The sequence below is a fragment of the Homo sapiens genome, chromosome 4 (genome assembly GCF_000001405.40).
Source record: "Homo sapiens chromosome 4, GRCh38.p14 Primary Assembly".
NCBI lineage: Eukaryota > Metazoa > Chordata > Mammalia > Primates > Hominidae > Homo > Homo sapiens.
Window position 1 is genome coordinate 10116988 of NC_000004.12, and position 15019 is coordinate 10132006.

A 15019-nucleotide genomic window follows, 5' to 3' on the forward strand; every position below is an offset into this window, starting at 1 on the left:
CGCCGGCCCCGGCCCCGCCTCCGCCTTGCTCGCCCCGCCCCGGAAGTGACGTATAGCACGCCCCGCGGGCCCTTGAAAAGGCGGCGCAGACAAGCAGCCGCGTCAGAATGCTTCTGGGAGTCGGGGGGTGGGTGCCTTTCTGTTGCTAGCTTGTAGGAGAAGCTGGGCTGTAGGAAGTTTATTTGCGGGGGGGTCTTAAAGACGCTGAAAGTACTGGCGGGCTTTGGTGGGGGTCTGGAAAAACCTCTCTGTACCTGTGACCGCGTTGCGTGGCGGGCGCTCCCCGGCCTCTCCTTTTTGACCGGTCCCGGGCGTTGCCCAGCCGCCAGTCCTCCTGCTCGGGTTTTGTAAGCAGGAGAGGGATGCTTTTTACGTCTTCTTAAAGTACGGTTAAGTGCCCTTGCTTGAAGTAGTTGCTGGCAACAAGAACGTAGGGGTTACTCTTTGTTGGGCCTGAACTCGTGCTTTTTCTCTCAAAAGTTGAGCTTTTGAAAGGCAAAAAAGGCGTGGGGGATGGGGGAGCTGTCGGTCTTAAGGAAGTTAAAGGTTATTTCCTAAACAAAACAAGTCTCACTCCTAAAACCAGGGTAGTGGCTCAGTTGTGGCGGGAGAGCAGGGGCTGTAAAGTGTCCAAGTTTCTAGTCTCATCTTTCAGTAGGATGGGTACAAGCTTTCCCCTTGGGGCTCTGGGGGCTGGGAGGGTTGTAAAAGTGGGAGAAAGCAAAGTATTTGGCGGGGTGCGGGCGGGTAGCTGAATGTTGTTGTAAGTGGAAGAGGAATGCTGTTGGCGTCTTTCTCTAAGCACGGTTAAGTGCTTTTTCTTGAAGTAGTTACTGGCAACAAGAACGTAAGGGTTACTCTTTGTTAGGCCTGAACTCGTGCTTTTTCTCAAAAGTTTAGCTTTTGAAAGGCAAAAGTGGGGGTGGGGGCGCTGCTGCTTTTAAGGAAGTTAAAGGTTATTTCCTAAGAAAGCAAAACAAGCCCCACTTGTAAAACCCGGGTAGTGGCTCAGCTGGAGAGCAGGCGCTGTGAAGTGTACAAGTTTCTAGTCTCATCTTTCAGTAGAATGGGTACAAGCTTTCCCTCGGGGCTCTGGGGGTGGGAGGGTTGTAAAAGTGGGAGAAAGCAAAGTACGTGGGTGGGGGGTAGCTAAATGTTGTTGTAAGCGGGAGATGGATGCTTTTGGCGTCTTTAAGCACGGTTAACTGCCCTTGAAGTAGTTGCTGGCAACAACGTAGGGGTTACTCTGCTGGGCCTGAACTTGTGCTGTTTCTCTCTCTCAAAAGTTAAGGTTTTTAAAAGGCAAAGGCGTGGGGAGAGGGGTAGGGGAGCTGCTACTTCTAAGGACGTTAAGGGTTACTTCAGAGCAAAACAAGCCCCACTTCTAAAACCAGGGCAGTGGCTCAATTGTGGAAGGGAGAGCAGGGAATGTGAAGTGTCCAAGCTTCTAGTCTCGTCTTTCAGTAGCGTGGGTACAAGTTTTCCATTGGGGCTCTGGGGGCTAGGAGGGTGGTAAAAGTGGGAGAAACCAAAGTACTTGCGGGTAGCTAAAAACTCTGAAACCCACGCTGTGAGCGGTTCCTGCTTCTCTGAAAGGTCTGTTCTGCTTAAGGTTGTATCAAGGTTAGTCTCTTGCTACCTACTTCTGTAGAGCAGTCTCTCGTGGCTCACCTGGGTTAGTGGCCATGTTGCCTGTCTCCTATTCTTCCTAACCTTGTGTGTTCTCCAGGTAGCTGAGTGATCCATCCGAAGTAAAATATTCCTCAGCTTGTCTGTAGGGGCTCCAAGTTTCATGAAGTAAAAGCTAGTCTTGAAAACGGCCCATTAGGGTCCTGGATGACAGTCTCCGGGTCACTTAGACTCCGTTGTCCGCCTCCCCTCATCTGTATCATCTTTGCCTTGGGTACTGGCTTCGGAGGGTGTTTTCCTGAAACTCTTACCTGAGATCTACTTGGCTGACTCCTGTGTCCTTCAGAAGTACTTAATTGCTCAAATGTTAGTTGATGAGTGTCACCGGTCTCATTTTAAATTGCAACTTCAACCCCTTGCAAACACTGCTTCTCATTCCCGCGTTCCCTAACTTTAACTCTCAGGAATAACCCTGACACCTGGAAGATGCTCCTAGGGATGACCCCACTCCCCACCCACAACTGTTAATCAGGAAATAACGGATATGAAAGTAGCTCTGCGAACTGAGGAGCCGTGGAGAATGTACAAAACAGATTCCTAAAGTAAGATACGCAGGCCCGGCTTGTAGGCCGCTGCATCTGCTTTGATAACTTAGAACTCATCAAATCACCTTGAGACCCTTAAAACAAATGGTATAATTGCATTCACAGGTAGTGCATTCGTGTAACAAGATTAAGAAAACGAAGGACCAACTTCAAGCTCTTGCAAGCTGGTAACCTTTACACTCGTGCATAAAGCCTTGCTGGAGTTGACACTGAAAACTAAACAGTCGAACTTGAGTAAAACATATCCAAACTCCCAGCTGCTGGGCTCTACAGCTTATTTTTAGCTTGAAAGTTACATGTTGGAGCTGCAGAGGCTTTATGGTGGTGGTGGGGGAGCTGTTTGTTCGTAGTCACTTGAGTCTATATGAACGTGGCAGGAAATCTGAAGGATGTGAAAGGAAAATGGGAAACACCAGGGTGTTCCAGGATTTTCCCTGTGGGGCGCGAGCTCAGTTTGGTGTTGTCAGCTGTGGGAGCTTTAACACTTGAACCGTCTTTACTGTGGGTCTAGCCTATTCGTTGGGCTCCCCTAGTCACCACTCATGCCTTCGTGTATCCTGTTGTGTTGGGCCCCCACTGAATTAAATAGGGATGGCACCATGTTCGAGAAGCCGAGGCGACCCAGAGCCAATGAACACATATGGTGTATGGAGGGGACTTGAATACAGAGTGGTCCAGAGCAGCCAGCTGGGACAGAACTGCGCTTCAAAAAGCAGTTGATACAGATCAGGTACACCTACACTCCCAAGGTGTGGCTAAGCCGCTATCAGGTGTCAAGCGTGTAAGGGTCACTGCCAGGATATACTTGAGTTGCTTTCAGCTGTCATAACTCTCTAATAGGATGGGGATCCTGAGGTCTGCATACACCAGTGGTTCACATCTCTGAGGACCCAGCTACTTCTCTGGCCCTTTCTGGAACCTGTCTACTTGGAGCTCCGTAGGAAGGGTCTGAAAGGCCCCTTACTCGCACTGAACGACAGCCAGAATAAGACTAATTTGCCTTCCCCTTCCCTGCTGATTTCTCTGGGGTGCTGCTTCCGATAGTGACCAGCGTCCTTGCATCTCCAGCTGCACTGACCAGAAATCTCACCCCCCACTTAGGTTAAAGCCTTCACTAAATCTAGTTGCTTAGAACCTCTGTATCAAATCTTTCTGTAGCCACAGCCCTGCTTTGGTGCTCTTTAACCTGGGTTATTCTAATTTCTTCCTGACCAGTTAATCTGTATCTGCTTGGAGCCCCTTACTGCAGCCAGAGAAACTTTAAAAGCTTGTTGAGCCTTGGGTAGCCTAGGTTTCTATCTTGAGACCGAACATCCTCCCTGGGCTTCTGAGACACTGGCATGCTGAGGCTCTGCCTGGCTCAAGGAGCAAGTCTCCTGGGTCATTCTGTTCTGGCACCTGTCTCTGGGTCTTCACTGATGCCTCAGTTTAAGGCCAATCCACCCTCAAGCTATACTCCCATTTTGTTGCACACTGGTTTGCTTATGACTATGGGGTTCATCAGCGTCTCGACTCTCCCCTTTTTAGGGATTGAGAGCAGGGACCTTGTTGCTCGAGCACTTGTTGCAGGGGCCCACCCAGACAATTGGAAACAGAACGCAGGTGTGCCAGATCTATGAACACCTGCGTGCTTTTCAGACAGTGGCAATTCTTCCTTTTGCTGTGTGAGCGAGCAACATAAGTATCACCTGAACTTAATTCTAAAGTGGCAACAATGTGTTCTTGAAACTTCTAAGCAGCAGCAGCTTAGGATACTTAACTCTTCGACTACCTTTGGGGTAAACTAGCTCCAATTGGGTAACTTGGGCAAACCGCTAACTGGCGTCAGGTGCTAAATGAGCTGTTTAACAGCTTTCCACTCAGGGGAAAACAAGTTTGGAGTGGGTTCTGAACGCTTTATGTAACGCAAACAGTGGGGGCGTGTGGATTCCTGGAATGCACCTTGTCCTCTGAGCACGCTCTGAGTCCTGGCTTCTAGAGCCACAAACTGCAAATACGTCAGATGTGTGAGGCCTATACTGGAAGCTTTGGGGAGGAACAAAGCCACAGGAGAGCTGAATTTCTCTCCAAAGCCTGTCAAGCTGCTTCCTCACTTTCAACCCTCATGGGTTCTGTCCAGGCTCAGGAAAAGGGGGCTTTCTCTTTCCTGTTGCTTCAACTGTATCAACCCCCTAGGAAGAGCCCTATGCAAGGGTAGCGCTGCTCCCGTCTAGCTCACCCTGTGGACTGAACCCCCGCCCTTTCCACAAAGGACTGTTGGGTATAGTGGGGGAAGCCTTTCTGCTCCAGGAATTTCAGTCCCTTTTGCAGGCCTGTCCCTGTCTCATAAATAAGCTCAAGTCATATTCAAAGTTTCATCTCCGGAGTGTCCCTGGAGTAAATCACCTTTATCTACTACCTCAAGCCAGTCTCGCTGCCTCCACCTCCCCATCTGCACAGGGAGTTGGAGTGATTGCCAGTGAGTCCTCTAGAGGGTCTGACACATGGTGGGAAGTGGCTGCCCACAGCCTGAGTTAATGTGTAACGCTTTTAGCTTCGCTGTCAGGCTTTCAGATCTTTAATTCTCAAATCTCACTGGTTGGATCGAGTCCATAGTCCGTTACTAGCTGTGACTAGGGAGGGTGGTGAAATGCATGGCAAAAGCAGCTACTGGTATCCACCTTTTGACCTGGAAAAATCCGGGTTGTGGGGCCTGGGCTGTCCCTCCAAAGTGAACTGGAAACCGGGCTACCTTGCCAGAAGTGCTTGGATGCCTTTGTCAGAGGACTGGTAACAAAGCCTTTAACCTGCTAGCATAAACCTTATGCAAAAGGGGTTAGCCCGGTTAATTCTGCCAAGGCAAGAAATGAGTTATCTGCAACCCTCCAGTGAACTCGTTTACTGAATCCCTTCTTGGGGGGCCCTATGTGTTGTAAATACCTTTCTTTCCAGTTGAGCAGCCCATTGGAAAGTGGGTTTTGCAAATAAGCAAATAACTAACACCTGCATGCTGCAGCAGCTTTAAATCCCTGCAAGTCATGGAAGCTTGGGCATAACTTTTCAGTTTGAGGTTACTGAAGGATGTACTTCTAAACAGCTAATCAACGGCATAACTTTAGTAACACAGTACAAGGAATATATCCTACTTGGGTTGTCTACCCTTGTTTCTTAACCATAGCTTCAGGCAACGAAAGCTATCTGATCATCAAGATCCCGGTGAAGGGGGTGGTAACTGGGTGGAGTTGAGCCTCCACACTGGAGGACCTAAGGCCGTGTCTTGCACTGCTTCGAAGCTCCTGTAGCTGCAAAAGAACTCTGGGGACAGTTAAACAATTCCCCTGTCCCATTCTTCTTAAACTCCCATAAGTGATAGAACACAGTCGCTTCTGTCTACCTGCTGCCTGAGACTTGGTGTGTTGCTGTGAGGCCTGGTGACAGCCCCGGCCTGTCCTTTCCCGGGACCCTTCCTGGAACGTTTACTTACCCTCATACTTGCAAGCACTTCGTGTGAGCTAGATGCTGGGTTTGTGGGCCCTTGCCCTTCATCTTACATCAGGGAAGGGAACTTGGGTTGGAACTTTGCCGAGTTGAAAAGCAAGTGATGCAACCAGGAGTTAAACAGGTTGGGTCTACAGAGTCTAAACTGTCCTTTACACGTGAAAGGGCTGAAATGGATAGATCAGATATGGAAGTTTTAATTGTGCCCCTAAATAACCAACTTTTCCAGTGAAGGTAGAATCTTAGCATGCTCTCACCCAAGTTCAAGGATAGCGTCAGTCGCTCTCCAGTTGAAAGCTTTGTCTTTGGGTAACTACTTACCGTCCTAGGGTTTCTGCCTTTTCCTTCTGACTCAGTCCACAGTGCCTGGGTCTTTGCTGGCCTCCAGTTGTGTGGTCAGAGCTAACGTGTTTGGCTGTTGAGCACCGGTGTCTGGCTTGTTTTGTGCCCACAGTGCAGGGGCTTGGCTACGTGGTCACTGGGCATCCTGTGGTGCTGTGGGGGTCTGGTCTGAGGGCTGTGCCAGTGCCTGTTGCTGATATGGAGATTCCGGTCATGAGGCTGTTCGCTGCAGCGAGTCTCCTTGTACAGACCCTGTGGTGTGGCCTTCTTGCCCATTGGCCTGAGGGCTTGGGTCCTTCCTCTGCTCCATGAGCATAGAAACTCTAGATCTCAACACCCTGTGTTTGAGTGTTCAAGACTGTTAAACAGAACTGGATCCCAGCCCTCTTTTCCAGGAGTGCTGAGGATCTTTGAGCCCTGACACAGCCACAAATCCATCACAGCTCCTGCCAGCACCTCCCAATGCTGCCCCTGGTTCCTTGGCGGTGGCCTCCGGCCATTTCCAAACACTTCTGCTATTAGCTGCCTTTATAGTCGGCTTCCCTCAACACGTGGACCAAAGGGTCAGCTTTTCTGCCAAACAGGATGGACATAGATTGTTAGTGGAGGAGGGCTCTTGTATTTGTTGCCATGGAGACAGTGACCAGCTGGATGCCCTGCCTCTCCGTTCGCATGCCTCCCTGTGGGGGAGGGGGGGAATCGCACTGCGGATGGGCCTAGGGAACTTGGACATGTGTCATTCAGCCCTTTGCTCCTTTGACTCAGGCTCTGCCTGCCTGTGGTAAACAGGTGCTCTGATCTGCTCCCTCCAAGTGGGTGGTGTTTCTGGGTAGACATTGCCCATCCCAGCAGTGGGGATCTGGTAGTTGAGATCTGCATGTGGCTGGGAAGCTGTACTGCTCTGCTAGGGCTGGCATAACAAACTGCTATGAACTTGGTGGTTTCAACGGAAATTCTTTTCTGGAAGCCAGGAAATCTGAGATCAAGAGGTGGGGTGTGGTTGGCTCCTTGCCAGGCTGTGAAGACTGTTTCAGGCCTCTAGCTTCTGATGGTCTGCTGGCATCTCTGCTCCTTGGCCTGTGGGACCACCACCCCATCCCTGTTTTCATCCTTAATGTCTTCTCCCTGTGCCTGTTTCCGCTTCCCTGTTTAAAGGACACTGGTCCTATGGGAGTAGGGCCCACTTTGAGTTTTACTTCATCTTAATTGCAGCAGCAGGCCACCCTGTCTCTAAACAAGGTCACACACTGAGAAAATACTTCACTGTAGGGGCTGAGTTTCATCTATATTGAAGGTAGGGCTTGCCCTGTCATCCTCCCACCCGTAAAGCCCCAACCACCAGCCTCTCAGCGCCTTGGGGACAAGGCAGAGGCGGTTGAGTTGCGGTGACCCACCTTGTTGACAGTGGCAGTGGTCACACTGTAAAGTGTTGCCACCCATTCTGGGGCACCAGCCCTTGGGGAAACTGGACTTAAGGCACAACCTGGATCAAGAGGCTAGGTGCCTGCACTATATCTGCCTGGCAAAGGAATCACTGAGGAAGTGACTGAAAAGTGCTTCCCTATCTCTGACCCTGGTTTTGGCTTTCATCCTAAAATGCTCTAATGAAGCGGCCTAAAACACATGGCTGCCTTAGAAAACAACCACTGGAGCATTTGAGGAGTTGGCATCTCCCCCGCCTTTGGGGACCGTGGGACCAGTTTCTTAGCTCGGCTGCTGTGGCCATAAAAGTACTCCTGCTTCTAGGCATGACCCGGAGGATGGTGGTGGCCACAAAGCAACCAGGAGTGGGTGCTGTCTCAATGTCCCTGGCTTGGGCCCTAGGTCTAGACAAGGACCTCGGTCCACTTTGTTCCGGTCTGGGAGGGTTCCAGTCATTCCCGATGGCATTGCTGGGATTGGACAGGAAGTCCCTACCATACACAGGCAACTCAGGTTCATGTAGAAGGAGGCTCCTCAATAAGGGAAAACATCAAAGGGGGAAGTTTTAGATGAATGAGCTCAGACTCCGATGAAGCTGATAGACCGAGTAGCTCGACACATTCTGGAATATCTGGCAACTGGCATGGACTCCGTAAAAGGATTTTAATTTTTGTCTGCTTTTCGAGGTACATTTAGGCACAGCTGTTAAATTGGTAGTTATGTCCTATTGGGAAAGATGCTGCAGTTGTGGCCACAGTGGAGGCTTCTACACACGTGGGACACGGGGGACCCTGAGAGACTTGGCCCTGCTGCAGATTAAAGATGACCGAGGCAGTATAGTGTCGGCAGGTCAGCCACATACCTAGTGCTTGCCTGGCATACTGGATGTTAAATGATTTTCAATCTCATCTTAGGTAGTACGGGAAAGTGGTCTCTAATTTGTTCCCCATATGATTTGTAGGAATGGTCTTAAAATGCTGGGTGGTGAAATCAACGTTGTGTTCCTTGTAATATTTGAAACCTGGAAACTGCAAGTGCTCAGTCATAAGAGCTGGTGTCAGCCACTGGGTGTCTATTTGGTTCACAAAGCTTACTTCAGCCCTCCCAAATGTTCTCCCACTCCACATCAATACCCAGCTTCAAAAGGAGCCTCCAAGCAAAGTGTTTTTGGGTATCAACCTTGACCGTGGAGGAATTGTGAAGCCAACGTAGCAAGATACCTTGATCATGTGGACTATCACAACCTGTGGGATTGTGAACATCTAGAGTCATGTATGCACCTCACATGTCTACCGAACACCAAAGGGTCAGACACGAATGCAGTATTCTGGAGCTTGGTGCCTAGTCACTTATTTCCCCTCTGTAATACAAATTGTTGGTGCGTTATAAGGATAAAACGCAGGCTCTTAAGGCCTGGTCATATTAGAAGTGCTCGAATGTCATGTACATGTTAGGTGGCTGGAGGTACTATGGAAAATAGGAACATGTTATCTCTTCTGTGTGAAGGTCAGGGAGGCTCTTGTAGGACTCTAAAGTTGATATGTGAAGGATGTGAAGAGCATAGAGTAGTATGTGATATGCTTGGCAAAGGAATGGAGTCTCCCTGAATACCCGTGTGGAATGGAAGTAGGGCTGGGAAATTAGAGCCAGGGCGAGTGGCTGGGGCTGCTTCATGGAGGTTCCCCAATGACCTCATGATCAGATGCCATCAGGATGTGTCAAGCGTGATGTGGATCAGATTGACTTGTTGGGGTCACTACTCCCTGTGGAGGGTGGGGTTAAATGGACCAGCCTGGGACACTGGAGTTGGGCCATTGTGAGTGGTGGCCTACGGAGGATTGGAGGGTAGCAAGCCTGACATGTGCAGGCAGGGGACACACGCAGCATTGTCCTGGATGTCAGAGGAAAGGAGCCCAGGGATGATGAAGCTATGGTTTGGACAATACAGTGGGTGGTGGGTGATGCCAGTCACTTAAAAGTGAAGGCAAGCAGCAAGGGATCTGACTGCCTCCTTTGCATGCACTATTAGAATTGATCCTTCTATATCAGCAATCTCGTACTCCCAGAAGCCCTACCCCACTGTACGGTGAAACACCTGGGTGTGTAGCTGGTGGCTTCAGGTAATACTTAAGTTGTAACTTTCCCAAACCCTTTGCATGTTAAACAGTGATGCTCTCAACTTACATGCAAGTTGGATCATTGTTTTGAGAAAGCTTTGCGGTCAAGTCGTTCCTCAACAGATACATTGTATTTCAAGTTCCTCTGTTAGAATCACAAGTATTGAGAATGTGGGTTTATGGTCATCATGCTGTTAGCTTGCGGATATCAAGGTGATGGCATTATCAGGTGTACTACACTGGGATCTGTCATGCTAACGACTCAGCAGCTAGACCACTTCTACTTGAGTTGTCACAAGGTGGGCCCTGATTGTCTCCTTGGAACCATGTCCCGTGTCTCCTGCTTTTTCCCACTCAGCACAAACATCCTGGATTTAGGATGCACAACTAACTTATAGCTATCTTTAATTGCACAGGAATAAAAACTCCTGTGAGGTCCTCATCTTAATGTTGAGGCATTAGTCCCGAAGTTAGTTCCCACAGTGCTGTATCTGACTAGGTAGCAAACAGATTTCCTCTGGCTTGAGGATGAGTTCTAAGTTACGTGTTTTGTGTTAAAGGGAAATTGGCTGAACTAACAGGGCTAGGATAGTACACAAATTCTAGTGTTGGTAAATTAGGTCTAGGCTTAAGGTGGCGGGTATCTTGGCCATAAAGATACAAATTTCCATTCTATAACAAAATCACTAACATGATCAAAAATGGTTTGACAGGATACCAAATAGAACACTTGAGGGTAGCGACTCTTGATAATCAACTGCTGCTTGAAGTCACTTATGCACGCAGTCTTTGAGATTTGAAGGGGCGGGGTTGCCCCTCCACATCCGTGGGTGTTTCTCGTTAGGTGGAACGAGAGACTTGGGGGGAAAAAGAGAAAGTATAGAGAAATAAGGGGACCCAGGGAACCAGCGTTCAGCATATGGAGGATCCTGCCAGCCTGAGTTCCCTTAGTATTTATTGATCATTTTTGGGTGTTTCTCAGGGGGTTGTGGCAGGGTCATAGGATAATAGTGGAGAGAAGGTCAGCATATAAACACATGAACAAAAGTCTGCATCATAGACAAGGTAAAGAATTAAGTGCTGTGCTTTGGATATGCATACACATAAACATCTCAATGCCTTACAGAGCAGTATTGTTGCCCGCATGTCCGACCTCCAGCCCTAAGGCGGTTTTCCCCTATCAGTAGATGGAACATACAATCGGGTTTTATACCGAGACATTCCATTGCCCAGGGACGGGCAGGAGACAGATGCCTTCCTCTTGTCTCAACTGCAAAGAGGCATGCCTTCCTCTTATACTAATCCTCCTCAGCACAGACCCTTTATAGGTGTCGGGCTGGGGGACAGTCAGGTCTTTCCCTTCCCTCGAGGCCATATTTCAGACTCTCACAGGGGGAGAAACCTTGGACAATACCTGGCTTTCCTAGGCAGAGGTCCCTGCGTCCTTCCGCAGTGTTTGTGTACCTGGGTACTTGAGATTAGGGAGTGGTGATGACTCTTAACAAGCATGCTGCCTTCAAGCATCTGTTTAACAAAGCACATCTTGCACCGTCCTTAATCCATTTAACCCTGAGTTGACACAGCACATGTCTCAGAGCACGGGGTTGGGGGTAAGGTTATAGATTAACAGCATCTCAAGGCAGAAAAATGTCTTAGTACAGAACAAAATGGAGTCTCCTATGTCTACTTTCTACACAAAGTAACAATCTGATCTTTTTCCCCACAAAATTTAAGTAGACTTGGCCTTGTCATTCTGTCCTTTGGAGCTGATCTGGAACAAGCTTTTAATCTAGTCTTGCAGATGGAAAAGCTCTTTACCCAGATGCACACAGGGCATAAATGTGGGTGAGTCTTGGACCTATGAGTAAAAAGACACCAAGGTATCAATCGCTGTAGCTTTGCTCGACACCTGAGTCTACCTCACTTACAAAAACGGACAATTTGGCAGGACTGGCTTTTGAGACTCGGAGACAGATCAAGATGCTTTGCAAAGGGAATGTGTTCTCCAGTCGTGGGACAAAACGTGTCTATTAAATTCTTACTACGTCGTAGGTATTACAGTACCCAAATACCCAAGATGTCTCGGCTGAAAGGCCAAGGTGGACTTAAGACCGAGGAATACCATGTGCCCAAGTCCATGGTCACAACTATTCTGTGTAGAGAATCATGGCCTAGTGCAAGATCGACCTCATATCCCTGAGTTAAGGCACTGACTACTTGTGGGGAGATGAAAAGGTGGTAATCTTGAACCAACTTGAGAATGGGGGTAAGCTCAGATGCAAGTGTGTGCTTCCCCTACCCCTTATGACTTGGAAGGACTTAGCAGAAGTGGCATTTTGGAGCTCCATCTTACATTGAGTGAAGGGATGGAAAAAACCCTTCCCTGGTAGGGGAAGTATGCAGACCACAGGTGGAACAGATTACTGCTCTGCAGGTACAAGTGTGCAAGCCCAGTAATTGGGGTTCTCCAGAGGGAGAAAGATACACTATAGTTTTTTGTAAGACCTTGTGGTCATGTAAGTTAGTACTTAATAGGGTGTCTGCAAGCCGAGGAGCAAGGAGAGCCAGTCAGATAGCTCTGAAACCCTGGAGAAAACTGAAGAACTTGGAGTCCAGTGTTCGAGGGCAGGAAGCATCCAGCACAGCACAATGATATAGTCTGGGAGGCTAGGCCAGTCTCCTTTTCACGTTTTTCTGCCTGCTTTTTATATTAGCTGGCAGCTGATGAGTGTGCCCACCGGATGTGAAGGGTGGATGTTCCTTCCCCAGCCCACTGACTCATGTTCTTTGGGCAACATCCTCAGACACACCCAGGATCAATATTTTGTATCCTTCAATCAAGTTGACACTCAGTACCATCACACCCAGTGAGTCACAGTGCCGGGGGCTATCGGAGGGGACTTACTAGAGAGGGCTGGCCGTCAAAGCATACCCCACAGGGTTTGGTGGGGGGATGCAATTGGGGCCTTCAAGACTAGACAAGGTATTACAGCTCTTCCTGACCGTGTCCTTGGGAAGCCTTTGAGACCTCTTGGCAGGGAAAGTTCACCAGAGACTATTGCTTAAAGGTTTGGCTCATATGTCATTCAGTCCCACAGATGGGCAGAGAGCTTGGGGAATGCTTGTTCTCCTAGGACATCCAGCTGGCAGCTGTGCTATGTGGTCTATGCAGATGGAGCAGCAGGGATCAGGGGTCACTGCTAGTGAATTGCATCTGCAGGAAAACTAAGTCCTGAGTCCAAGAGGGGATGGCCTCTGTTCTGCTATGGTGACTGCCAAGCTCAAGTTGGCAGATAACAGGGACTTCTCTGGAGAATTGTAGGCATAACTTCTAGTGCTTCTCGGGCTAATTCTAAGTACTTCGGTTGAGTGACTCCGTGCTGGGCAGCCACTGTGATTCCAGTGTAGAGATGAGGAAACTGGCCAGTGTCAGACCAGTCCGGGTATTATAAGACTTGACACTGGCTGAGTGCTTCACTTCTGTAAAACCGTAGATCCTACGTGGAAAAGATGACTGAATTGCTGCATTTAAAACCACAAGTCCAAGAGTATTTAAGAACTTGAACCCTTAACTTCAGGAAGTCTTATTTTACTTAGATCTTCTCAGTTCGTTTATTGAATCATAGCTCTCTACTTCGTGTGAAGATCAAATCTCTGCCAAACTTGATAATCACAGTTCATTTTAGACAGCCTAGCTGTTTATGGCATTTTAGATGCTGACATTTCTCGGCACAACTGTGCTGGCTTTTGAGACTAGATTAAGCTGCTTTCTGATTGACCGACAGGACAAGCTGTTTCTGGATGTGTTTTGGAAATCTGGTGCCAGAGTCTGGATGGTGTGTACTCGGCCCTAGGAAAAGCTGCTCTGTTTCAGTTATGGGGAAATCATTCAGGGATGTTAGGGTGAACGGATAACTACTCACCTCTTCCATGGGGGTGGACTGTTCACCCACCCTTCTGGAGCGGGGGGAGCCATGTTGACCTTGGACTTTGCCCTCTTAATCCTCATGGTTCTCATCACTAGGAAGTAAAGGCTAGCCTGGGTAGTGAAGCCACAGTTCGTACCTGTCCTAGTTTCTGTCGTGGCGTTGGGTCTGCGTGGCTGCCCTGAAATGGTGCCCTGCAGTGTACTTCCTCACGTGCACTCACCTGAGTGGAGCTTCCTGTGCTTGTGTTGGAGGGCTGGTGCCTCATCTCCCTCCCCTTGAGGTCTTGATGGGGAGAACCTGGCTGAAATTTCCAGCTGGCAGAGGCGTCCTACTTGGCCACCACAGGCAGTTTTTATGATCTATCGCAGCAGGAGGCCAATATGTTGGGAGAAGGAAGCCTCCTGGGCTGGCTAGGGTAGTGTCTAAGTCTGTTTTAGCAGATGTGGGCTGCAAAACTCTTGTGGCTGAGTTGGCTGAAGGTGTCACCTGTTAAAGCCATGATGGGCTCTCCCCAACAGCTGGAGTACTAAACATTGCTCTGCTGGAGGCTGCTCGGGTCCAAGGCTGCAGCTGGACTCAAAGGGGTTCCTTAGGTGTTAAAGCAAACTTAGACTGGTCCAAATCTTCTGTCTCAGCAGACCTCAGAATTTCAGCCAAGAGCTGCTTCTCTGGGTTCTAAAGAGGCTTTAGTGGGAGGAGGCAGGGAAGCCAGGACCCACCCGGAGCCTGGTGCAGAGAAGGAGCCACACTGAGCAGTGTAGAGACCTGAGGAGCCATGCTGCCCTTAGGCTGCAGTTGTGTTTGGGAGGGGCAGTTTTAGACTTGATAAGAGGGCACGAGTGGGCACAGGAGCCCAGCGTGGCTGCAGGGTGACCTGGAAGAGGGCAGGGCACAGGTGGGCGCGGGAATGCAGTATGACTGCAGGGGTTGACCTCTCTCAGGGTGCCAGGAGTGCAGTGTGGCTGCAGGGTGACATCCAGGAGCGTGCTCAGGAGACTGACCCCAGTGACTGACGTGGACTCTCCCCAGTGACTGACGTGGACTCTCCCCAGTGACTGACGTGGACTCTCCCCAGTGACTGACGTGGACTCTCCCCAGTGACTGACGTGGACTCTCCCCAGTGACTGACGTGGACTCTCTCCAGTGACTGACGTGGACTCTCCCCAGTGACTGACGTGGACTCTCCCCAGTGACTGACGTGGACTCTCCCCAGTGACGGCATTTACCTAGAGAATCTGCTCCGATATAAGGCTGGCTAATTTCTGGATGGTGCACTCTGAGCAGGTTGAATCTGTAAACTTCACTCTTGAGCCTTGGCCTAGTGAATCTGGGACTTTTGGGTGTTCTCTCCTGTCCAGCACAGCACAGTGAGGGGAGCTGACTTGGTTGTCACAGGACCCTACTTGTCATCCTGAGCAGCCACTATTTGATTCCCTTCTATGTCTGAGTATACATAGACCCTGCCTGTCACTAAGACTCCACCACACAGGGATGCTGG

The 15019-nt window shown here is 49.4% G+C and overlaps 1 long non-coding RNA gene across 1 annotated transcript, besides 6 other annotated features; it reads left to right on the forward strand.

Annotated features, from left to right (window-relative positions):
- Positions 4–123: a silencer, noted in NCBI's record as "silent region_15279". NCBI's record gives its function as "represses an Ori minimal core promoter by ATAC-STARR-seq in GM12878 lymphoblastoid cells {active_cell/tissue: GM12878}" and the evidence as "EXISTENCE:reporter gene assay evidence [ECO:0000049][PMID:35858748]".
- LOC124900666 (uncharacterized) lies at positions 102–2490 on the forward strand. The gene is made up of 2 exons (XR_007058030.1): positions 102–2231; positions 2340–2490. It is a non-coding gene; the product is annotated as an uncharacterized LOC124900666 (long non-coding RNA).
- Positions 1044–1143: an enhancer, noted in NCBI's record as "active region_21310". NCBI's record gives its function as "activates an Ori minimal core promoter by ATAC-STARR-seq in GM12878 lymphoblastoid cells {active_cell/tissue: GM12878}" and the evidence as "EXISTENCE:reporter gene assay evidence [ECO:0000049][PMID:35858748]".
- Positions 1224–1313: an enhancer, noted in NCBI's record as "active region_21311". NCBI's record gives its function as "activates an Ori minimal core promoter by ATAC-STARR-seq in GM12878 lymphoblastoid cells {active_cell/tissue: GM12878}" and the evidence as "EXISTENCE:reporter gene assay evidence [ECO:0000049][PMID:35858748]".
- Positions 5767–6267: an enhancer, noted in NCBI's record as "H3K4me1 hESC enhancer chr4:10124378-10124878 (GRCh37/hg19 assembly coordinates)". NCBI's record gives its function as "activates a minimal SCP1, AML or CMV promoter by ChIP-STARR-seq in naive and primed H9 embryonic stem cells {active_cell/tissue: H9 hESC(naive and primed)}" and the evidence as "EXISTENCE:reporter gene assay evidence [ECO:0000049][PMID:30033119]".
- Positions 6268–6768: an enhancer, noted in NCBI's record as "H3K4me1 hESC enhancer chr4:10124879-10125379 (GRCh37/hg19 assembly coordinates)". NCBI's record gives its function as "activates a minimal SCP1, AML or CMV promoter by ChIP-STARR-seq in primed H9 embryonic stem cells {active_cell/tissue: H9 hESC(primed)}" and the evidence as "EXISTENCE:reporter gene assay evidence [ECO:0000049][PMID:30033119]".
- Positions 11782–12981: an enhancer, noted in NCBI's record as "MED14-independent group 3 enhancer chr4:10130393-10131592 (GRCh37/hg19 assembly coordinates)". NCBI's record gives its function as "activates an origin of replication core promoter dependent on BRD2, BRD4, P300/CBP and CDK7 cofactors, and independent of MED14, by STARR-seq in HCT116 cells {active_cell/tissue: HCT116}" and the evidence as "EXISTENCE:reporter gene assay evidence [ECO:0000049][PMID:35650434]".